Here is a 22673-nt window from a genome sequence, read left to right on the forward strand (position 1 = left end):
GTAAATAACCAGCTCTAGGGGCAGGTCTAGGAACTCATTGTTTTCCAAGCAGTGAGGGGTATACACGACGTTTCGAGATATCCACAACTTGATGTGCCAGTGTCTGTGATTGTAATTGGTAACAAAGTTGCAGGTACTGCTAACAGTACACTCTGAATAAGAGGAAAAGCTAAATATTAGAAGTTGATGAAAGTCAATATGTAACTTTTTCCCATGCGAATTCGACTTACAGACCCCTTAGGGCGCACGGACCACAGGTTAAGGCCCCCTTGAAGGGGCACGAGTTTAGGAGAAACTCTGGTGTGGGTTTTCAGTCCTGGAAGGTGAGCCCTGGGGTAGGCACGCGTGGGCGCTCAGAAAAGGGAAGGCAGAGGCGCCTCCCCGGCTGGGCCTGCGGAGGGATGACCCACACGCCCCTCCCCTCGCTTCCTTGGCCTGGTTTCACGCGACTAGAGAAAGTTAAAGACCCGTGTGACTGAAGAGGAGCTCACAGTTCCCAGCGTCTGCTCCCACGGTGTCCAGCGCCCAGAATGCGGCTTCTGGTCCTGCTATGGGGTTGCCTGCTGCTCCCAGGTGAGATGGGGAGAGGGTCTCGGGAGGGATGTGGGGCTCACCCTTGTGGTCTGCAGGGAAAGGACCTCTTGACTGACTGATAGCCCCACCCCACCTATCCTCAGCCTCCTCAGCCCTAGGGGAGCGGGGCGGGCTGGGGGTGGGGGGAGGTGGGGGTGGCGCCGGGGCCGCACTTGCTGTTTCTGGAACCTAGAGCCAGGTTTTCTCCAGACCTGTGGGTTTCCCCTCATGGCAATGTGGCTGTGAGAGTTGCTTTGCCTCTCTAATCTTAATTTTTCTACCCTGTGCCAAGCCTGGAGGCGGACAAGACACCCCATCTGGTTGCCCTGTTAAACTCAGCAAATATTTGTTGAATTTCGGCTATGCCTCTCCCCACAACCCTGAAAGATGAAGAATTATCACGTTTCATCAATTCTTTTGCTTTCTTTTTCTTTACCTTCTAACACTTAAAATCAGGATAAATCCTACAACTGATGTCAGTTGTTCAGTTGGCAATAGTGAGACCCCATCTCTACAAACAAACAAACAAACAAACAAACAAAATTAGCCAGGCATGGTGGTGCACACTTGTAGTCCTAGCTAGTGGGAGGCTAAGGTGGGAGGATCGCTTGAGCCCCAGAGGTCAAGGCTACAGTGAGCCATGAGCACCATTGCCCTCCAGCCTGGGCAACAGAGTGAGATCCTGTCTAAAAACAAAACAAAACCAGGCACGGTGGCTCACGCCTGTAATCCAAGCTCTTTGGGAGGCTGAGGCGGACGGATCACAAGGTCAGGAGATCAAGACCATCCTGGCTAACACGGTGAAACCCCGTCTCTACTAAAAATACAAAAAATTAGCCGGGCATGGCAGCACGTGGCTGTAGTCCCAGGTACTCAGGAGGCTGAGGCAGGAGAATCACCTGAACCCGGGAGGCAGAAGTTTCAGTGAGCAGACATCGGGCCACTGCACTCCAGCCTGGGCGGCAAAGTGAGACTCCATCTCAAAAACAAACAAACAAACAAACAAAACAAAACAAAACACTCAGAAACCCTGCTGGCTATCTGGCTGTCAGATTCTATCTGAATCTAGAACGCCACCCCTGCACCCCAATTCCTCAATGGGCCAGGGTTAGGGAAACAGCAACAGCCCTGCCCCAAGTTCCCCCAGCGTGGGAGGTTAGTAATGGCTCTTCCAAGGCTGTCCCCAGAAGGGATGACTGAGAAAAGCCTTCCTTCTTCCTCCTAAAATGGAAGCTCTGGCCTTGACCTTGGTACATGGAGCCTGGTTTTTCCAACCTCCACTCCTGCTCTGATTTTAGGTTATGAAGCCCTGGAGGGCCCAGAGGAAATCAGCGGGTTCGAAGGGGACACTGTGTCCCTGCAGTGCACCTACAGGGAAGAGCTGAGGGACCACCGGAAGTACTGGTGCAGGAAGGGTGGGATCCTCTTCTCTCGCTGCTCTGGCACCATCTATGCAGAAGAAGAAGGCCAGGAGACAATGAAGGGCAGGGTGTCCATCCGTGACAGCCGCCAGGAGCTCTCGCTCATTGTGACCCTGTGGAACCTCACCCTGCAAGACGCTGGGGAGTACTGGTGTGGGGTCGAAAAACGGGGCCCCGATGAGTCTTTACTGATCTCTCTGTTCGTCTTTCCAGGTAACAGATATCTCTCCTTCCCCAGGCTGGGGACAGGAGCTGCAGAGGGAAGAGGGAGGGGTGGTGGGGCATAATCCTGGTACCAACATTATGGGCACTGAGTCCTCAGGGAGATCATGCAGGTCAAGCACCGAGCAAGGCTTGGGGCACAGAAGGAGCCGCCTGAGTCTTGGCCATTGTCTCACTCTTGCTGCCCGAGGTCACACCAGTAGTAGATGTCAGAGCAGGACCGGACCCAGATCTGTCCAGGGCTGGGCTCGGCGCCTTTCCTTTCTGCCCAGGTGTGCTGGAGGGAGATTTCCATAGGCTGGGTACAAGATAGACATATCAGGGGATAAAGAAGACTCCTCGCCTGGTGTCAGAGATATTCCTGAGGCCTCCCGAGGCTGGGCCAACCATTGCTGCATTCCAGACCCAGCCCACAGCATCACCCTGGACATGCTGGCCTCGCCCTGCTTGTGCCCTCAACTCTCCCCTCCTGGCCTCCACCTCCCCAGATATTGAAGTCCAGCCACAGGTGCTAGAGTGCCTGGGAACCAGCCTCTGGGTAGGATGCCTGAAGGAGGGATCGTTAAATGCAGGGACACTAGGGGGCCGGGGCTGGAGCTATGGGGCCTGGGTAGGGGATAAAGCACCTCTCTGGGAGCCCAGAACCCCAAGTGGACCTGCTGAGCTAAGGAGAAAGAAGCCAGAGAGGGCCCAGGGGAGTGGGAGCCTTGGTCTGCTGGCCAGTGTGGGCGAGGTACATCTTTGTATCCCCATTTCACGGATGAGGGACTGAGGCTCCAAGAGACTAAGTGATTTGCCCAAGATCTCACAGCAGGAAGTGATGGAACTGGGATTCAAACACAAGTCGTTTCCAGCTTTGATGTCTGCTTTATTCCTCTCCTAGCCCCATAGCTGGGACCTATCCCAATCCCAGGCCCATCCCTACCACCATAGCCCCTATTTTTTTTTTATTCCTTTATCCATGGATCTTTAATTTGAGGAAATAAAGTTAAACTTGCCAAATAGCAGCAGCATCGAACCACATTGAATCTGTTCTTCATTATTTACAAGATTCTCTTATCTCTTCCAATTCTTATCAGTGTTCACATGTCATTTCTACCAGTTATGATCAAGTTCGCTTGTGTTTTAGGTTTACCCTCATTTGTAATTCTTTATTTGTGTATGACATGTGTATTGCTATATTATCGTCCTATATCGGACTCTATTGGCCTCTCTCTGATGGCAGTTGGGATGTTGAAAATGAAGAAGACTGACGACAGTGATGTGCTGGTAAATGTTTAACAGGCTGGGGATGCTGTCATTTTGTGGTGTTTTCCAATTTCTGTGGTGTCCATTTCTGTGGTCCAATTCCCATGGCCAATTTCCAGCCATCGACAGTTTAACACGATCTCACCAACTCCTGAAAAGTTAACAGTGAGCTCTTGTGAGTCAGTGCGAGCCATCTCCAGCACACCATTGAGTATGGTGAACCATGAGAAGAATTTCTAAGAAAGTCAGAAAAAGACAAATGTAGCCACTATCATTTCTTTTCTTTTTATTTATTTATTTTTATTCATTCATTCATTCATTCATTCATTCATTTTTCTGAGATGGGGTCTCACTCTGTCATCCAGACGGGAGTGCAGTGACACAATCTTGGCTCATTACAACCTCTGCCTCCCAGGCTCAAGTAATCCTCCTACCTCAGCCTCCAGAGTAGCTGGGACCACAGGCACAAGTCACTATGCCTGGCTACATTTTGGTTTTTTGTTTTTTTTTTAAGATGTGGTTTCGCCATATTGGCCTGTCTGGTCTCAAACTTCTGGACTCAAGCCATCTGCCTGCCTCAGCCTCTCAAAGTGCTGAGATTACTGGCAGAAGCCACTGTGCCCAGCCAGCCTACTATCATTTTCTTTTATTCATCTTTGCCTGAAGGCCCTAGGCAATGAAATATGCAAGATTAAGAAGTATAAGTCCCGGCATGGTGGCTCACGCCTGTAATCCCAGCACTTTGGGAGGTCAAGGCGGGTGGATCACGAGGTCAGGAGTTCAAGACCAGCCTGGCCAAAATGGTGAAACCCCGTCTCTACTAAAAATATAAAAATTAGCCGGGCATAGTGGCAGGTGCCTGTAATCCCAGCTACTCAGGAGGCTGAGGCAGAGAATTGCTTCAACCCGGGAGGCGGAGGTTGCAGTGAGCCAAGATCGTGCCACTGCACTCCAGCCTGGTCAACAGAGCCAGACTCAGTCTCAAAAAAAAAAAAAAAAAAAAAAAGAAGAAGAAGTATAAATGTTGGAAAGGAAAAGATAAATACTCTGTATTTGCAAAAGATTTGATCATCTACTTAGAAAAATCCAAGAATAAACTGACCTAGTGTTACAGATTGAGTATCCCTAATCCAAAAATGCAAAATACTCCAAAGTCCGAAACTTTTTGTGTGCCAGCATCACACACACAAAGGAAATGCTCACTGGGGCATTTTGGATTTCAGATTCCTGGATTAGGGATGCTGAATCGGCAGATATAATGCAAATATTCTGAAATCTGAAACACTTCTGTTCCCAAGCATTTTTGGATAGGGGATACTCAATCTGTAGAAGAGAAAGTGGTGGAGAAAGAGGGAGAGTCCAGGATGGCACACAGTCAGCAAGGACTGGGGAAGTGACAGATGGACTTGGGGAAGTGGGGACCGGAGTAGCTCCTGGGGAGTTGGTTGCATCAGGCTTCTGCCCACTGTGCTGGGCACAGAGGACAGGAATTTTTTTTTTTTTTTTTTTTTTTTTTGAGACGGAGTCTCGCTCTGTCGCCCAGGCTGGAGTGCAGTGGCGCGATCTCGGCTAATTTTTTGTATTTTTAGTAGAGACAGGGTTTCACGTGTTAGCCAGGATGGTCTCGATCTCCTGACCTTGTGAGCTGCCTGCCTTGGCCTCCCAAGAGGATAGGCATCTTGCCTTTAAGGAGTCTCAGCCTAGCAGGGAGACCCAGTACACAAGAAATTGCAGTGTAAGTGAGCATTAGCGCCACTGGAGGCACGCACAGGGGACTGTGAGTGCACAGAGGAAAAAGAGATTCGCTGCTTCCAGGGAAGACATTACAGAGGAGTTGACCTTGAGCTTGTGCTGAAGGACAGAAAGAAGTGCTTTAGGCAGAGATGGAAAGGAAAGGCATCGCACACAGAGGAACAGCATGTCCAAGGCACGGAGGTGGGCAGGAGGCTGGTTTAGTCGGGAATAGAGGATGACTCTATGGCTGGAGCACCGAACAGAGAAAGAGGCGAAGCTGACAAGGTGGTTCAAAGCCTCAAAGCCTGAGTTTTGTTCTTTGCTTTTTTTTTTTTTTAGAGACGAAGTTTTGCTGTTGTTGCCCAGGCTGGAGTGCAGTGGCGCAATCTTGGCTCACTGCAATCACCGCAACCTCTCCCTCCCGGGTTCAAGCAATTCTCCTGCCTCAGCCTCCCAAGTAGCTGGGATTACAGGCATGCTCCACCATACCCAGCTAATTTTGTATTTTTAGTAGAGAGGGGGTTTCACCGTGTTGGCCAGGCTGGTCTCGAACTCCTGACCTCACGTGATCCACCAGCCTTGGCCTCCCAAAATGCTGAGATTACAAGTGTGAGCCACCACACCCGGCCTGAAGCCTGAGTTTAAGAGGCCTCGAAAGGCATACTAAAAAGTTTGAACTTTGGCTTTTAGGCAATGGAGAGCCAGTGACTGTTCTAAGGCAGAGAGGGATGGGATCCAACACAGACTTTTGAGACAAAACTGGAGTAGTGTGAAGGGTGGCAGGGAAGAAGCAGGCTGAGAGGCAGGTGGGTTTGAGGCTCTGAGCTAGGCGCGAGGCCAGGGGGCTGCAGGAGTAGAAGACCAGGGATCTGCTGGAACCCGCCACGTGGCTCCTGGTTGGCCGAGGCGAAAGATGGCAGTGCTCTGTGCTGAGGTGGGGGGTAGGAAAACTGCCAGCTGCTCCCAAGGAAGGAAAAGGGGTTCAGAGCGGTGCCACCCCTGAGAGCAGCCTTTCCCTTTCCTCTAGGACCCTGCTGTCCTCCCTCCCCTTCTCCCACCTTCCAGCCTCTGGCTACAACACGCCTGCAGCCCAAGGCAAAAGCTCAGCAAACCCAGCCCCCAGGATTGAGTGAGTGAATGGCAATTCCGCCCCTTCCCTTGCCACCCTTCTTACAGAAGCAGCCAGTGAGTGCCTGCCTGGTACCAGACACAATAGTTTATGGCCACCTAGGTGTCCCCACAAGCCTGGGAGCTGGGTTGTCCAGCTGTGGAAGTGGAGGCTCAGCAGGGTTAGGTCACTTGCTCAGGGTCACACAAGAAGTGCCAGATCCCAGAAGTGGTCACAGCCTGACCCCAAAGCTCATATTCTGTCTGCGCCATCCAGAGTCTCGGGGGCAAGCCAGAAAGGCCAGGCCTTGGGCCCTGACCTCTGGACTCATCCTGCCACCCTGCCCTTCCTGGTCTCATGGCTGCAGAAGGAAGTCAAGGCCTTACTGAGGCACGGGTGGTTGGGGAGGGGGCACATGGTGGTGAGGGGAGGACCTGCCCTTCTGGTGAGGAAGGAGGTGACAATTGACTGGGACTGTAGGGGGAGGGCAGGAAGGTGTCCACTGAATGGTCACTGGAAAGGGTCATGGAAGCGGGGAAGGGGAGTGCTTATACCTCCTCACAGAGGCAACAAGCTGTGGGCACAGAAAGAGACTGAACATCATGCACAGCTGTGGGGTGTGCCTGATCTACGGTCTCCTTCCTCAAAGTGGCTTCATCTAGATCTGTTTGCTTACTGGGGTATCCTTTAGCTGGGGATGTTCCGAGAAACGGGTCCCAGGGAGGCTAGGGTTCAGGGGTCCAGGGTCAGAAGTCAGGGATGCTGGGATGCAAGGGTCAGGAAGGATGCTGAGGCATTGCTTTTGGACTTGTAGCTTCTCCTGGGCTCTACCCGGCAGCCACCACAGCCAAGCAGGGGAAGACAGGGGCTGAGGCCCCTCCATTGCCAGGGACTTCCCAGTACGGGCACGAAAGGACTTCTCAGTACACAGGAACCTCTCCTCACCCAGCGACCTCTCCTCCTGCAGGGAGCTCCCGCCCCCCCATGCAGCTGGACTCCACCTCAGCAGAGGACACCAGTCCAGCTCTCAGCAGTGGCAGCTCTAAGCCCAGGTGAGCCCCAGGTGACCAACATCCCCTTTCAAGCCATCACTAAACCATAAGGTGCCTTTGAGAAAATAGGAACTCAACACTCTTTCCTCTAAGCGGACGCATCCTCTTGTCATGGCCACAGCCTGCAGCACAGAGAGTCCCTCACAGGGGCCCTTGAGCAGTGGACAGCTTGTACTATAGGAGCCAGCAGCTCTGCTGCCTGTCCAGTGTGAAGGGTCCACCAGGATCCCAGTCCTGACCTCTCTCCCTGCCCCAGCCTCAGGGACGGCCACCCCAGTTCTGGGGCTTTTGCCTGTATACTTTGCACTAAGCCCTGTGCCAAACATGAAAACTCAGAGTCCAAAAGAAAACAATTTTTTGCCTTACAACTGGAGTCCCAGCCTGAAGGATTGGTTCTTGGGGGTTGTAAATGCACTTGGCTACCGACATCCAGGCAGCTGCTGGCAGGTTCAGGCCCTGCTGAAAGTGAATCCTGGGTTGGCAATGGGGGCGGGGATCCGTTCCACACCTGACAGGGCTGATGGGACATCGTGGTCCCTAGTGCCCTCTGATCTCCTTGGGAGAGAGAAAGGACATGGCTTGACTCACAGTAAGAATGCCAGGATGCCCCACATGCCAGTGACACCAGCCCAGATACAGGCCACCGGGAACTTCCCCACACACCACTGCATGACCTAACGAGTCGCTCATTGCTTCAGGTGTCAGTTTCTCCAGTGTGAAATTGATCCACTCCTACCTAGTTATACAGGGGTTGTGGAATTTAACAGCTAACATTGACGTGGTGCCTGGCATGTGTGTGGCACTGAACTATGCGCTTTACACATCCTCACCCATTTGATCCTCACCACAGCCATTTTACAGAGGAGGAAATTGACACCCTGGGAGGTTTAGTCACTTATCCAAGGTATAGAAAGGTGGTGGAGCTAGAGTTTGAACCTAGACAGCCTGGCTCCGGGGTCTGCGCTAATTACATAATGTTTGTCAAGAGCCAGTAGCACTAAATACCACCCCCCCGCACCACCACCCCCCACAAGTCTCTGCTGCATTGAATTGGATTCCACACTAGGGATTGGCTTTCTCAGCCTGTGCCTGGGACCCCCAAAGGACATAGACTCTGGCTTATCTGGTAACAGCCACTAGGCTCCTTGCGTCTCGTCTCCAGGGTGTCCATCCCGATGGTCCGCATACTGGCCCCAGTCCTGGTGCTGCTGAGCCTTCTGTCAGCCGCAGGCCTGATCGCCTTCTGCAGCCACCTGCTCCTGTGGAGAAAGGAAGGTGAGCAAAGGTGGGCGGCAGGAAGGCGGGAGGCTCACTGGGCCAGGGACCTCACTGAGACCTGCAGCTCCCCATCCAGCCCTGGAAAGACCCTGTGGGTCTCAGCGTGTCTGTCTGAGATATGAGCATCAGGAGCTGTGGCCTCCCTTCTGAAGGAGCCACGAGGTAGTCAACATTAGGAAAGTAATTCACAAGGGGAAATGGGAGAATGAAGGGTTCTCAGCTTCTTCCTGCCTGTCTAAACTGATCAAGCACTTCTCTACCTATTGATCCCAGGGAATTCATTGCCAGCTCCTTGTGTGGGAACCAACTGCCAGGGGCAGTGCAGGACCAAGCACTTGAATTTGAGCAGGACAGACATTGTAACCCCACTCCTGCCACTGGGTCTCTAGAGCTGCTCAGCCCCTTCCATAGGCTGGGGCTCAAATCCCAGCTCTGCCACTTTTTAGCTGTGTGACGTCAGGCAAGTCACCTAACTGCCCTAAGCCTCATTTACCTCAAATCACAGATATACATCAAACAGAAATAGAATACAAGCCACAAATGTAATTTAAAACTTTTGAATAGCCACATGAAAAAAAGTAAAAAGAAATGAGTGCACTTAAGTGTATTTTATTTTATTTTAATTACTTATTTTTTAGACATAGGGTCTAACTCTGTTGCCCAGGCTGGAGTGCAGTGGTGTGATCATGGCTCACTGCAGCCTTGAACTCCATGGCTCAAGCGATCCTCCTGCCTCAGCCTCCCGAGTAACTAGGACTACAGGCATGAGCCACTACGCCCAATCTAGTGAAGTTAATTTTAATAATGTACTTTATTTAACCCAATATATCCCAAACATTATCATTTTGATATGGAATCAATATGAAAATATCAATGATACATATTCTACTTCCATGTTTTTCATACTGAGCCATCAAAACCCAGTCTAACATGAAGTAGTCACATTTCAGTGCCTGATGGCCATGTGCAGCTCCCGGCTCCCGTGCTGGATGGCAAAGACTAAAAGGATTAACCAAAATCTCAGTAATAAGAGCTACCATGTGCCAGCCACTATCCCCAGCTTATCTTGCTTATCCCCTTTAATCTCCACACTGTGGAGTACACCCATTTTCCAGGGGGAGAAACTGAGGCACAGAGTGGTTAAGCAGCTTGCCCTTTGTTTGCATAGCTAAGAAGTGGTGGAGCCGGGAAGATAATCACAATGTCATACCCATGGAGGCGGCCACAGGGGAATCCTGGGCCTGCTTTCTGTCCCTTCCATGTGTGGCTCCTAGGAGGAAATGTGGGCTTTGTCCAGGTCCCCTCTGAAGAAGCCAGGGTGGGAGCATTCCTGGTCACAACCTCAGAGCCACTTAGCACCTTGCATCTCAAACTTTGATTGCCAGCTAGCAGCGGTGGCAACCCTTGGTAGCCTGTTAGAAATGCAGACCCTCAGACCCTCACCCCAGCCTACTGAATTAGACTCTGCACTGTACAAAAACATCCAGGGGGTCCTATGTGCACACTAAGGCTTAAGTAGCAGTGACCTTAGCACACAGATTTATTTTCCCAGCCAGTTTCTGACCCTCATGAGATAATCTCCATGCACTGATCTCAGAAGACTGGGTCATTCCCAAGGGGCTAAGCTGGAAGGGGCTCCTCTGCCCATCTGGCTGCCTCCTCCCTCTGGGAAGCCCCTGCTCCCGTGTGCAAGGGGGCCAGTCCACCTTTCTGGGAGCAGCTACAGGCCACTCCCGGCTACTCCTGGCTTCAAGGGGCTCCTCCTTCTACATCTCTTTCAGCTCAACAGGCCACGGAGACACAGAGGAACGAGAAGTTCTGCCTCTCACGCTTGGTAAGGACAGAGGCATATGGAAGCCCAAGCTCAGATCCCCTTGGGGCTGGAAGTCAAGATTCCTGGGCTTTGCCTCTGTGACTTCCTACCTGGTCCTCCTTGCCTGACCTAGAGGCAGCGCTTGCTCCCCACCTTGGAGGAATGTGTGTGAGCCCCAAGATCAGCCCTTCAGGGTGTGAGCCGGACACAGTGCCCATGGGGGACTCACAGGTGGGAACCTGATTTCCCGCCAGGTGCCAGGCAGGGTGGGCTCCAGGAGCCATGTGAGCATCTTCTCCAGGCGCCTTCTTTCCATCCCCCCTTTTAGAATCACAGAACATCAGAGCTGGATCCAGATGAAGCCTTTGAGATCTCTAGCCTGACTTTTCTCTCAGTTTGAAGCAAATCGCCTTTCAGAACGCCCAGGGGTCAGGGAGCTGTTAGAGATGCACTCTCCAGGGCCCCAGACCCAGCTGAACCCTCCAGGGGTGGGGTCCAGGGACTCTGGCAGTGCTACAAACTCTAGTGTGCTTTTACAAAAGATGAGACTGAGGCCCAGAGAGGGTAAAGGTCTTGCCCATGGTCACACAGCAGGTGGTGGCCCAAACAGAGAACAGGACCCAGATTTCTTGACTCCTGCTCTTCTCTTTCCAGAACTCCCTGATGTTTTCTCTGAGCCTGCCTTGGCTCTGAGACCAAGGTGGTGTGGCTGCTCTGGGACCCAGGCTGAGGGTGGTGCTCTGGGGACCAGGGGCAAGAGAATAAGGGTCCCTGTGCCCATTGTCTGGAGCTGGGAACCTGCCCCAAGGCTACTGCTGCAAGAAGAGACTGTGCCCTCCGAGGCCAGCACTCCAACGGAGGGGGCTGCAGCATCGCACTTCAGGCAACAGAAGCCCCTCCTGGCCCCTCCTCCCTCTGCTGTTTACTGAGATGCCTCCACTCCATTCCTTTAAACACAAGGGCAGGAAAGCGGAGCTACCATTGCCTTCTTTCCTGGCGCCAGTGAGGACAAAAGACTCAGGCCTGGTCACCCCAAGGAGGGTCTGGGGTGGAAATGGGACTTTGGGCTGTGGCTTAGGAAGCAGCTGTTGTTGTCTCAGGAAGCTCAACAGGGCCAAAGGTAGCAGAGGAGAGTAAGGGAAAAGTCATGGAGACACACGGATGGATGGACGGTGGGTGCCACTGGCCACCTCCAAGCCCGGCCTCCTGGCTCTGCGGGCTAGGGCCTGGGTCTCACCCCACCTAGCTCCAGAAGAGGGGCTGGGGTCCAAGGAGGCTGAGAGCGCCGGAACCAGCCACAGCTCCCATGCTACTGCCTTCTGGCAACCCTGAGAAGGGCTGCTTTGGGCTTTTTCCTGCCTGAGGCTCCTGACCCTGGCTCTGCTGAAGAGGGAGGGGACAGGAAGGGGCACAGGGCCAGCAGGCAGAGGGGCTCTAGGGGGCGGCCCCTTGTTGAGGGAAAGATGGAACAGGGCCTCCCAAGAGGGTCAGAGGCAAGAACCCTGTAAACACGATCAGGTGGGTGCTTCTGCTTTTTCTTGATTATTTCCCTTGTGGCTTCTCCATAGGATTTAGCAGAGTCTGGAGATGGAATTGAAGGGGTTTGGGGCTTTCTTTGTCCACATTCGGGTCAAAGAGGGAGGGGGATGCATTACTTATACTTTGAGAGGCCTCACAGGGGTGTGAAAACCCTGAGGGAAGTCTTAGGGGTCAGACCAGCATTTTCTTTCCCTAAGAGATCTTGCTAGAAGGACTGCCATCCATCCATTCGTCTGCCTCATCTTTTATTGAACACCTACTACGTGTCAGGGGCTTTATATATGCCAACGAATCCTCATCATTCCCATACGAGGTAGAGTTTAGTATCCCCTTCATTTTGCAGATGAAGAAATACAGGCTCAGAGAGAAAAGGGAAATTGCCCAGTGACCCAGCCTGAAAGAGGCAGAACTGGGGAGGCTGACAGGTCTATGGGGCTGGCTGCAGAGCCCTCTGCGTCCTCCACCCCGCTGCACTGAAGTACAAGGGGTTTGAGGAATGGAGCCAAGTTCGCAGCCCAAGACTCCTCCCCCAGACTCAGGAGAAAGACCCTGGGACAGCTGCAGACCCTCACTCCTGGAAATGAATAGCCTGCTAAGCTCCGATCAGAACTCAGCCCTGGCTTCCCAAGACTTCCCTCTTTCTTTATTAGGTTTATTACTAGTACCTAGAAGCAGAGCTCTGATATATATCTTGCATATTTAGCAACCCAGAAAATGCCTCCATGCTTGCTGGAACAGGGCCGATCGTCCACAGTGGAGGCAGAGGGGCAGGGGAGAGGTTGCAAATCACACCAGACTTGCGATAGTGGGCCTGGCTGCTGCCTAGGTGTGCCGTTTGGCCTCTGCACTGCGAGGCTCTTTCCTCAAACTCAGTCACCCTGGAACAGGTGACACTTCTGCAGCTGCTGGTGGTCCAGGGTCAGCAGTGGCTGGGTTAAAACCAGATTGCAAAGCTGTAAATATGGACTCATGGGTCTGATGTCAGGAGTCCTCTGGTGTAGCCCCAGGTCTGCCCTGCACCAAGGCCCCCTCTGTCCTCACCATGGGCAGGGCTAGGAGGGACAAGGGCCCTAAGTGGCAGCATTTGGGAATTGCCTTACCCCTCCCAGTGCCCTCATCCACCACCCACACTTCCCCCAAGGAATTCTGCTCTAATTCCTACCTTGTCCCCAGAAGGCTGAAGATGTCATCCCTGTGTTTCTTTTCTTTGGTATATATTTTATCTTTTTAATTTAAGGTTTTAGAGAAATGGGGTCTCACTATGTTGCCCAGGTTGGTCTCAAATTGCTGGGCTCAAGTGGTCCTCTAGCCTCAGCCTCCCAAAGTGTTGGGATTACAGGCAAGAGCCACCACACCCAGGCTTCATCTTAGCATTTCTAACAAGATTTGGCTCAAACATCTGCCTCTGCCCCCATCCACAGCAGCTAGGTATTGAGAGAAGCTGGGCCCCGGTTAGTAGACCATGGACACCGAGCCCAAGAGGAATGTGTCACACACCCTGCCCGGATGGCAGCAGGGTATAGGGAAAGAGCTTGGGTCTGCAGTCAGACAGTCTCCAGTATGAGTCCCAGCTCAGCCATGTGCCAGCTGTGTGATGTCAAGCAGGTTGCATCACCTCTCTGAGCCCCTGTTGCCATAGCTCACATAGTTGTAAATAGGAAAGAGTGAGATGATATACCCTATACATGCCCAGAAAATGGGAGCTTCTTTCTCTGGCATCAGTGCCCATTTGGCCATGGGATTCACTGTCCAGGAAACCCCAGGGCAGCCTGTGGCCTTGGGAGTCTTGGCTGGGGAGCTTGGCCGGCTCCAGCCTCTGCTCCGCCCACCTGCTAGGGCAAGGCCTGAGATGGACGGGCCTGGCGTTCCTGATCTGAGGACCCATGGGAGCAGCCAGGCCCGGGTCAGAATATGGGCTTCCCCACTGACCCTGGACTACCTGCTGTCTTCCCTGGGCCGTGGTCTCCTCATCTGATGGATAATGGATTGCTCAGACCCATCATCTCAAGAATGTTTCATGTGTCCCTTGTTATTCGACGAATCTTTGGCGTGTCCAACTTTGCTGTCTCTTGGCCTGTTACAAAGAACCTGCAGCCTGCATGATCTTTCTGCTTTAAAGGATAGAAAATAATGAAAACAAATAAGTCATTCCAGAATTTCTCATTGGTTGAGTGGTAGGATGCTATTATGAATATTATAATCCCAAAGGACAAATTCTTACCTAGTTTTACAGCTGAGGAAACTGAGCTTCAGAGAGGTGAGACAGCTTGTCCTTCCTTGGACAAGACAGGAAGGAAGGAAGTGGCAGAGGCATCCAGGAGCTTAGTATTCTCCCCTCCCGGCACCTCCCTGCCTTGCCCACCCCTCCCACGTTTCCCTCATCTTGCTTGGGCTTGGCTGGGCTAGCAGACCATCCCTGCTGCCAAGAACAGGCTGTTCTGACCAAGTCTCTGTTACAGCCACTGGGGAATGGCCGGGACCCAGAGGACGCTGTGATCAACCTTGCAGGGCCCATGGGGTCTCTCACCATCCCCGAGCCCTCTCCCAGCCTCTACACAGAGATCCAGTATCTAAGCCAAGTATGGACAGAAGGGCCCTGGGAAGGGAGGGGCTGAGGAGCCACCTTGCCTGCCTCCACTCTGACAATTAGAGGAAGTGGAAGGAGGCCTTTTCCTCAGCATCTGCTCCCCAAACCCCACACCCCCGCATCTACCCACCTTCCCCATTCACAGCCATAGGCCTAGCCCATTTCACCTGGGAAGCCAGAGCTTTTGACCTCACATCCTCTTTTTTTCCGGTCCAGAAAATTCCTGAATAGCTTGTTGGGAGTCACAGCTGACAGTGCTGTGGGCTGCACTGCCCTCAAGGCCACAACTGCGCCAGAACCCAGCCTGGGGCCTTGAGGGCACCCCGGGGGAGGGATGGATTGGGGTCATGAGAGGCCATGAATCAAAGCCTGGGAGTTCTGGGGAGTTGTTAGGTCCTGTGCCTCTGCAGATGGACGGAGGGCTGGAACTTGTGGAAAAGGCTGGGTGGACGCAGCAGCTACCTGGGGACCACCCCTCACACCTCCCACCCCTTCATCTGGGTTCTGCTCTCCAAACCCCACTGTTGTCTTTACAGACTGCGGAGGAAAAGGAAGCCCCTTCCCAGGCCCCTGAGGGGGACGTGATCTCGATGCCTCCCCTCCACACATCTGAGGAGGAGCTGGGCTTCTCGAAGTTTGTCTCAGCGTAGGGCAGGAGGCCCTCCTGGCCAGGCCAGCAGTGAAGCAGTATGGCTGGCTGGATCAGCACCGATTCCCGAAAGCTTTCCACCTCAGCCTCAGAGTCCAGCTGCCCGGACTCCAGGGCTCTCCCCACCCTCCCCAGGCTCTCCTCTTGCATGTTCCAGCCTGACCTAGAAGCGTTTGTCAGCCCTGGAGCCCAGAGCGGTGGCCTTGCTCTTCCGGCTGGAGACTGGGACATCCCTGATAGGTTCACATCCCTGGGCAGAGTACCAGGCTGCTGACCCTCAGCAGGGCCAGACAAGGCTCAGTGGATCTGGTCTGAGTTTCAATCTGCCAGGAACTCCTGGGCCTCATGCCCAGTGTCGGACCCTGCCTTCCTCCCACTCCAGACCCCACCTTGTCTTCCCTCCCTGGCGTCCTCAGACTTAGTCCCACGGTCTCCTGCATCAGCTGGTGATGAAGAGGAGCATGCTGGGGTGAGACTGGGATTCTGGCTTCTCTTTGAACCACCTGCATCCCAGCCCTTCAGGAAGCCTGTGAAAAACGTGATTCCTGGGCCCCACCAAGACCCACCAAAACCATCTCTGGGGCTTGGTGCAGGACTCTGAATTTCTAACAATGCCCAGTGACTGTCGCACTTGAGTTTGAGGGCCAGTGGGCCTGATGAACGCTCAGACCCCTCCAGCTTAGAGTCTGCATTTGGGCTGTGACGTCTCCCACCTGCCCCAATAAGATCTGCTCTGTCTGCGACACCAAGATCCAGCTGGGGACTCCCCTGAGGCCTGCCTAAGTCCAGGCCTTGGTCAGGTCAGGTGCACATTGCAGGGATAAGCCCAGGACCGGCAGAGAGTGGTTGCCTTTCCATTTGCCCTCCCTGGCCATGCCTTCTTGCCTTTGGAAAAATGATGAAGAAAACCTTGGCTCCTTCCTTGTCTGGAAAGGGTTACTTGCCTATGGGTTCTGGTGGCTAGAGAGAAAAGTAGAAAACCAGAGTGCACGTAGGTGTCTAACACAGAGGAGAGTAGGAACAGGGCGGATACCTGAAGGTGACTCCGAGTCCAGCCCCCTGGAGAAGGGGTCGGGGGTGGGGGTAAAGTAGCACAACTACTATTTTTTTTCTTTTTCCATTATTATTGTTTTTTAAGACAGAATCTCGTGCTGCTGCCCAGGCTGGAGTGCAGTGGCACGATCTGCAAACTCCGCCTCCTGGGTTCAAGTGATTCTTCTGCCTCAGCCTCCCGAGTAGCTGGGATTACAGGCACGCACCACCACACCTGGCTAATTTTTGTACTTTTAGTAGAGATGGGGTTTCACCATGTTGGCCAGGCTGGTCTTGAACTCCTGACCTCAAATGAGCCTCCTGCTTCAGTCTCCCAAATTGCCGGGATTACAGGCATGAGCCACTGTGTCTGGCCCTATTTCCTTTAAAAAGTGAAATTAAGAGTTGTTCAGTATGCAAAACTTGGAAAGATGGAGGAGAAAAAGAAAAGGAAGAAAAAAATGTCACCCATAGTCTCACCAGAGACTATCATTATTTCGTTTTGTTGTACTTCCTTCCACTCTTTTCTTCTTCACATAATTTGCCGGTGTTCTTTTTACAGAGCAATTATCTTGTATATACAACTTTGTATCCTGCCTTTTCCACCTTATCGTTCCATCACTTTATTCCAGCACTTCTCTGTGTTTTACAGACCTTTTTATAAATAAAATGTTCATCAGCTGCATATTCCATCCTATCAGTGTGTCTCAATTTATTTAACCAATAGTCTATCACTCGATATTTAATTTGCTTCCATTTTTGCTATTGTAGATAAGTGTGGGTGAAATTTGCCTGGGGGTTTATCTGCATTGGGAGATTTCTTTTCCTTTTTCTTTTTTTTTTTTCTTGGAGACAGAGTCTTGCTCTGTCGCCCAGGTTGGAGTTGAGTGATGCAATCTCAGCTCACTGCAACCTCCACCTCCCTGACTCAAGCCATTCTCCTGCCTCAACCTCCCAAGTAGCTGGGACTGCAGGCATCTGCCGCCACGCTCCGCTAATTTTCGAATTTTTAGTAGAGACGGGATTTCACCATGTTGGCCAGGTCTTGAACTCCTGACCTCAAGTGATCCGCCTGCCTCAGCCTCCCAAAGTGCTGGGATTACAGGCATGAGCCACTGCACCTGGCCGGGAGATTTCTTAAAGAAGGATTTGCGTGCATGGAAGTGCCAGGTCATAGGGAGTGAACATTTTTGAAGTTACTGATGCCTCTTGCTAAACAGCTTTCTGGAGTGGCAGCACCAATTTCACCCCCACCAGACCCTTGCAATCAGTGTTTCTTGAAGTCCTCTGCACCTGTCCCTGCTGGAAAGGCAGGAGAAACAGTTCAATAATGGCCCTGTGATCAGAACCTCGAGGGCCTGGGGGACTGGGTGGAGGTGGAACTGGTCTGATGAAGCTAGAGCAGCTCACCAGAAGGTGCCAGCCTGTGCCCGAGGCCTCTGGGTTGGGGTTGCACCAAGTACCTTCTCTGGGTGGACAGTGAGCTCCCAGGCCCGAACTCTGTGTGCTGCACCCAGGCTCCAGGCACTGTGTGTGCCAAGGTGTTTGGGACATAGGGAGCAGCAAGTTTCACATGGTCCCAAATCTTCTGCTGGGACCTGGGCACACACACTGTCAGAATGCACCCTAGAAGTGCATCAAAAGCAGGCTTCCCCCCTGAAAAATCCCTTGGCTGGGGTTTCCCTGGAAGGAAAGAACCCTCCTGTCCTCTGAATCTCTCCTCACCTACTGGAGCCGGGGCTTCCTGGGAACCAGGAGGTGGTCAGCTTGGCCATCCCACTCCCATCCCTCACCCATTTGCAGACTGGGCTGAATAAATTGACATATTCTGAGAGGCAGAGCTCTCTCCCAGGCAACCTAGGATTGGCATCCATGGAATTCCAAGTTTCAGTGGATTTATGAGACACATAAATATTACTCAGAGACACTCTCTTATTCCCACAGTACCACCAAGAGGGCCCAGCTCCCTCCTGACAGGTAGGGGAGAAAGACCACTCCCTTACCAGTTGACACTTTGCAATCCCCCATTTTGATACACCTTGGTTTGATGTTTGTACTTGAATACTCAGATCTGCAGTCTTTGGTATTTACGTGAGATTTTATTCAATCCCCTTAAACAAAAAGAAGCAACAAGTCACTGCTCACCTATCCTGAGAATGAGGGACTTTTGCTGGGAGGTAAAACTTCAGAAAAAATTGGAGGAACATCAAAGAATTGCAAACATTTAGTTTTGCCAAATTAGGACAGTAAATATAACAAAAATAACAAACTGTCACTTACCAGTCCAGCTATTTCTTTAAAAGAAACTTTTTTTTTTTTTTTTGAGATGGAGTTTTTGCTCTGTCGCCCAGGCTGGGGTACAATGGCACAATCTTGCTCACTGCAACCTCCACCTCCCAGGTTCAAGCGATTCTCCTGCCTCCTAAGTAGCTGGAACTACAGGTGTGCACCACCACACCTGGCTAATTTTTATATTTTTAGTAGAGACGAGGTTTCACCATGTTGACCAGGCTGGTCTCAAACTCTTGACGTCAGGTGATCCACCCCCTACGGTCTCCCAGAGTGCTGGGATTACAGGTGTGAGCCACCACGCGGGCAGCCAAAAAGAAACATTTTAACACCAAAATGGATTATTTAAGGCCTCTCTTCCCCACCTTACTCTTGACAAAGAATTGGAGATTATGATTCTAATCCATTGAGGTCTATTAAGGAGAAATTTGTAAATTCATCCAGGAAGTGGGTAAGGGAGGGGCATATAGGGGGAAAGAAAACAGACACAGAGAAGGTGGAAAGCGCCTAAGACATGCAAGGGGCTGTGATGTGCTTTGGGGGAGTCTTCCCAGGAGCAGGGAAGAGCTCCCCGCCAGTATCACTTCAAGGTGTGGCAAGCAAGCACCTGGGTCTGACAGCTGGGACGGCACCATGGGGCTGGATGTGAGTGCCAAGGCCCTGAGTCTGATGCAAAGCAGCAGATCTACCCATCTGCAATCACACATGGGCTGGGACAGAAGAGACAAAACCAGTGGCCCTTTCCTTACTGTCTTTCTTGCCTTTTTTTGGATTGACTAAGTTCTATTTTTGTTTTCTTATGCCATTCTTTTTCCTTCTACAGTATGGAGGTTATATCCTCTATTTTGAATCTTGAACTTTGTATTATACATAGGTTTTCAACAAAGACTACAGTTAATATCCTCACAATCCTTAATTTTTCCTTGAATAATATAGGATCCCCAAACCCTTTAACTCCCATCACTTGCTCCTATCTTGCAGACCATTTTCTTCCAGTTTTTAATTCTGTCCTTTCCCTCTCTTTTTTTTTTTTTCCAACAAACTGGACATCATTGTTAATTACTATTTTTAACAGCTTTATTAAGGTATAACTGGGGACGGGCACATTGGGTCACGCCTGTAATCCCAGCACTTTGGGAGGCCGAGGCTGGCAGATCACCTGAGGTCAGGAGTTCGAGACCAGCCTGGCCAATATGGTGAAACCCCGTCTCCACTAAAAATACAAAATTAGCCGGGCGTGGTGGCTCATACCTGTAATCCCAGCTACTCAGGAGGCTGAGGCAGGAGAATTGCTTGAAACCGGGAGGTGGATGTTGCAGTGAGCCAAGCTCGCACCATTGCACTCCAGCCTGGGCAACAAGAGTAAAACTCTGTCTCAAAAAAAAAAAAAAAAAGTATAGTTCGCATTCAATAAATTGCACGTGTTTAGAGTATACTATTGGATAAGTTTTGTATTATGTATATACCTGTGAAACAGTCACCACAATCAAGATAATGAATATATCCATTACCCCCAAAAGTTTTCTTCTGCCCCTTTGTAATCCTGCCTCACTCCCATCCTCATTCACCAGTCGATGGGTATTTGGGTTCTTTCCAGTCTGGGGCTATTACAAATTGAGCTGCTATGAAGATTTATGTACAAGTCTTTGCATGCTATCACTTCTCTTGGGTAAATACCTTGGAGTGGAACATCTGGGCCATATGGTAGGTATATGCTCATGTTTTCCAAAGTGGTCATAACATTTTGCATTCCCACCAGCCATGTAGAATTCCAGTTCCTCCACTGACACTCACTACTATCAGCCTTTTTCATTTTAACCATTCTAATAAATGTATAAACTGCACCAAGATTGTAGCTTTAATTTATACCTCCCTGATAACTAATGACTTTGAGCATCTTTTTGTGTGCTAATTTGCCATCCATTTATCTTCTTTGGTGAAATTTCTGTTCAAATATTTCATCTATTTTTATTGAGTTTAGAGAGCTCTTCATATATTCTAGAAATAAATCCTTCATCAAATATGTGATTTACAGTTATCTTCTCCCAATGCGTGACTTGTCTTTTCATTCTCTTAAAAAGGTCTTCTTAGCTTGCTGCACTGAAAAAGGGAAAAAAAGAAGTCTTTCACAGAGCAGAAGTTTGACATTTTGATGAAGTTCAGTGTGTCAATTTTTTCTTTTATGGATCATGCTTTTTGATGTTGTATTTAAAAAATCTTTGCCTAATCCAGGGTCACAAGGATTTTCTCCTATGTTTTCTCCTATAAGTGTTGTAGTTTTAGGCTTTACATTTAGACTTATGAATGAACTTGAGTTAATTTTCATATACGTGTGAGTAAAACAACTTCTTCTTCTTCTTCTTCTTCTTCTTCTTCTTCTTCTTCTTCTTCTTCTTCTTCTTCTTCTTCTCCTTCTCCTTCTTCTTCTCTCCTCCTCCTCCTTTCTTCCTTCATCTTCTTCCTTTTTTTGGGTATGGATATATCCAACTATTCCAGCACCATTTGTTGAAAAGTCTACCTTGTCCTTCCTCTACTGAATTGACATTGCACTACTTTGAAATCAGTTAAACATATTTGTGTGAGTCTGTTTCTGGCCTTTTCTGTTCTATTGACCTATTTATCTATCTTTATGCCAATACCACACTGTCTTGATTGCTGTAGCTTTATAATATGTCTCAAAATCAAGTAGTATAAATCCTCCAACTTTGTTCTTTATCAAAGTTGTTTTTGCTCTTTTAGATTTCTAGTATTTCCGTGTGGATTTTAGCATCAGCTTATCAATTTATACCAAAAAAACTTGCTAGGATTTTGATTGGGATTACATTGATTACATAGATCAGTTTGGGGAGAACTGACCTCTGAACAACATTGATTCCAACCCATGAATAACTCTATTTATTTAGGTCTTTATCTTAATTTGGGCTGCTATAACAAAGTGCCATAGTGTTGGTGGCTTCTCAACAACAGAAATCGATTTCTCACAGTTCTATAGGCTAGAGGTCCAAGATCAGGGTGCCAGCATGATCAGGTTTTGGTGAAAGCCCTCTTTTGATGTAGTGAATTCTTATAATTTTATTTTGCCTTGGCATCCATTTTACATATAAGCTGGACTTTCTCATATCAGAAGCAGGGCTTAGTCACCCTTCCAGCCACAGTTTCCAGTTCTCTGCCCTCTCGCAGTTCCTCAATATGGTCGATCCCAGTTCCTGCTTCATACAACCACTTCCTGGTGACCACCTCTCTATGAGACAGCTAGATGCGACCTACCTGACTTGCCCTACTGACCCTCTTACACAGGGACTGTGCAAATATGCCACAGTGACTACCTCGCAGTCACAGCATGACTCCATGGAACTCATGCCTGCTTGCTCTAAACCCGTCAATTAGAACTCTCTACGGGAAACTTGCTTGGGTAAACCCCTGGACTCCAATAAAGGCTTTGGCCCAAGGTCTGTCACCATCTCTCTCCTGCTCTCACTCACTGGTTGAGCTCCTTGCCACCTCCAGACTTCCCATTGGCAACCAGTAGACGCCCCTAATGTCTCTGGGACCTGTAAGTAATAAATTTCTTCTGTTTCATGCATTTGGGTTTCACTCTCTCATCGTGTCTCACCTGACCTACACACTGTAACTTAACTTTCCCCTGATTGGGGCTCTCCTAGAAAATTGCTATGTCAGACCGGGCGCAGTAGCTCACACTTGTAATGCCAGCACTTTGGGAGGCTGAGTCCAGTGGATCACTTGAGGCCAGGGGTTTGAGACTAGCCTGGCCAATATGGTGAAACCCTGTCTCCACTAAAAATATAAAATTAGCCGGGCATGGTGGTACATGCCTGTAATCCCAGCTACTCAGGAGGCTGAGGCAGGAGAATCACTTGAACCCAAGAGGTGGAGGCTGCAGTGAGTCGAGATCGCGCCACTGCACTCTAGCCTGGGTGACAGAGCAAGACCCAGTCTCAAAAAAAAAAAAAAAAAAGATAAAGAAAGAAAATTGCTGTCTCAGCTTATGGCCACTGTCAAGAGAGACCTTAAGACCAGATTAAAAGAAACCATGGGCCAGGCATGATGGCTGATGCCTGTAATCCCAGAGCTTTGGGAGGCCAAGGCGGGAGAACTGTTTGAGCTCAG

At 50.5% G+C, this 22673-nt stretch overlaps 1 protein-coding gene and 1 long non-coding RNA gene across 11 annotated transcripts, besides 1 other annotated feature; one reads left to right on the forward strand and one right to left on the reverse strand.

Annotated features, from left to right (window-relative positions):
- The first annotated feature begins 489 nt into the window (after positions 1-489).
- CD300LG (CD300 molecule like family member g) lies at positions 490-16953 on the forward strand. 10 transcript variants are annotated; one of them, XM_006721721.4, is made up of 8 exons: positions 490-573; positions 1872-2207; positions 6226-6327; positions 7121-7358; positions 8521-8633; positions 10418-10470; positions 14448-14567; positions 15112-16953. In XM_006721721.4, exons 1-8 carry the CDS (start codon positions 531-533, stop codon positions 15223-15225), a joined length of 1119 nt encoding a protein of 372 aa, XP_006721784.1. In that variant the 5' UTR covers positions 490-530; the 3' UTR covers positions 15226-16953. The 10 variants fall into 10 exon arrangements, with proteins under 10 accessions (XP_006721784.1, XP_005257132.1, NP_660316.2 ...); XM_005257075.4 differs by having other exon boundaries at positions 7274-7358; NM_145273.4 differs by lacking the exon at positions 14448-14567.
- LOC107985077 (uncharacterized) lies at positions 3064-7904 on the reverse strand. Its single transcript, XR_001752896.2, has 2 exons — positions 7725-7904; positions 3064-3615 (listed from the first exon to the last, which is right to left on the reverse strand). It is a non-coding gene; the product is annotated as an uncharacterized LOC107985077 (long non-coding RNA).
- Positions 19632-19804: a silencer, noted in NCBI's record as "fragment chr17:41943686-41943858 (GRCh37/hg19 assembly coordinates)". NCBI's record gives its function as "represses an EF-1alpha promoter that drives an FKBP-Casp9 reporter gene in an ReSE screen in phorbol 12-myristate 13-acetate-treated (for megakaryocytic differentiation) K562 erythroleukemia cells {active_cell/tissue: K562(+PMA)}" and the evidence as "EXISTENCE:reporter gene assay evidence [ECO:0000049][PMID:32094911]".

The sequence above is a fragment of the Homo sapiens genome, chromosome 17 (assembly GCF_000001405.40).
Source record: "Homo sapiens chromosome 17, GRCh38.p14 Primary Assembly".
NCBI classification, from domain to species: Eukaryota; Metazoa; Chordata; class Mammalia; order Primates; family Hominidae; genus Homo; species Homo sapiens.

Bases quoted from the DNA above. Each gene is read 5' to 3' on its own strand.
- CD300LG (XM_006721721.4), top strand. From the start codon at position 531: ATGCGGCTTCTGGTCCTGCTATGGGGTTGCCTGCTGCTCCCAG. The intron at 2,208-6,225 runs GTAACAGATATC...CCTTTCCTCTAG, and splicing joins CTCTCTGTTCGTCTTTCCAG to GACCCTGCTGTCCTCCCTCC. The intron at 14,568-15,111 runs GTATGGACAGAA...TTGTCTTTACAG, and splicing joins AGATCCAGTATCTAAGCCAA to ACTGCGGAGGAAAAGGAAGC.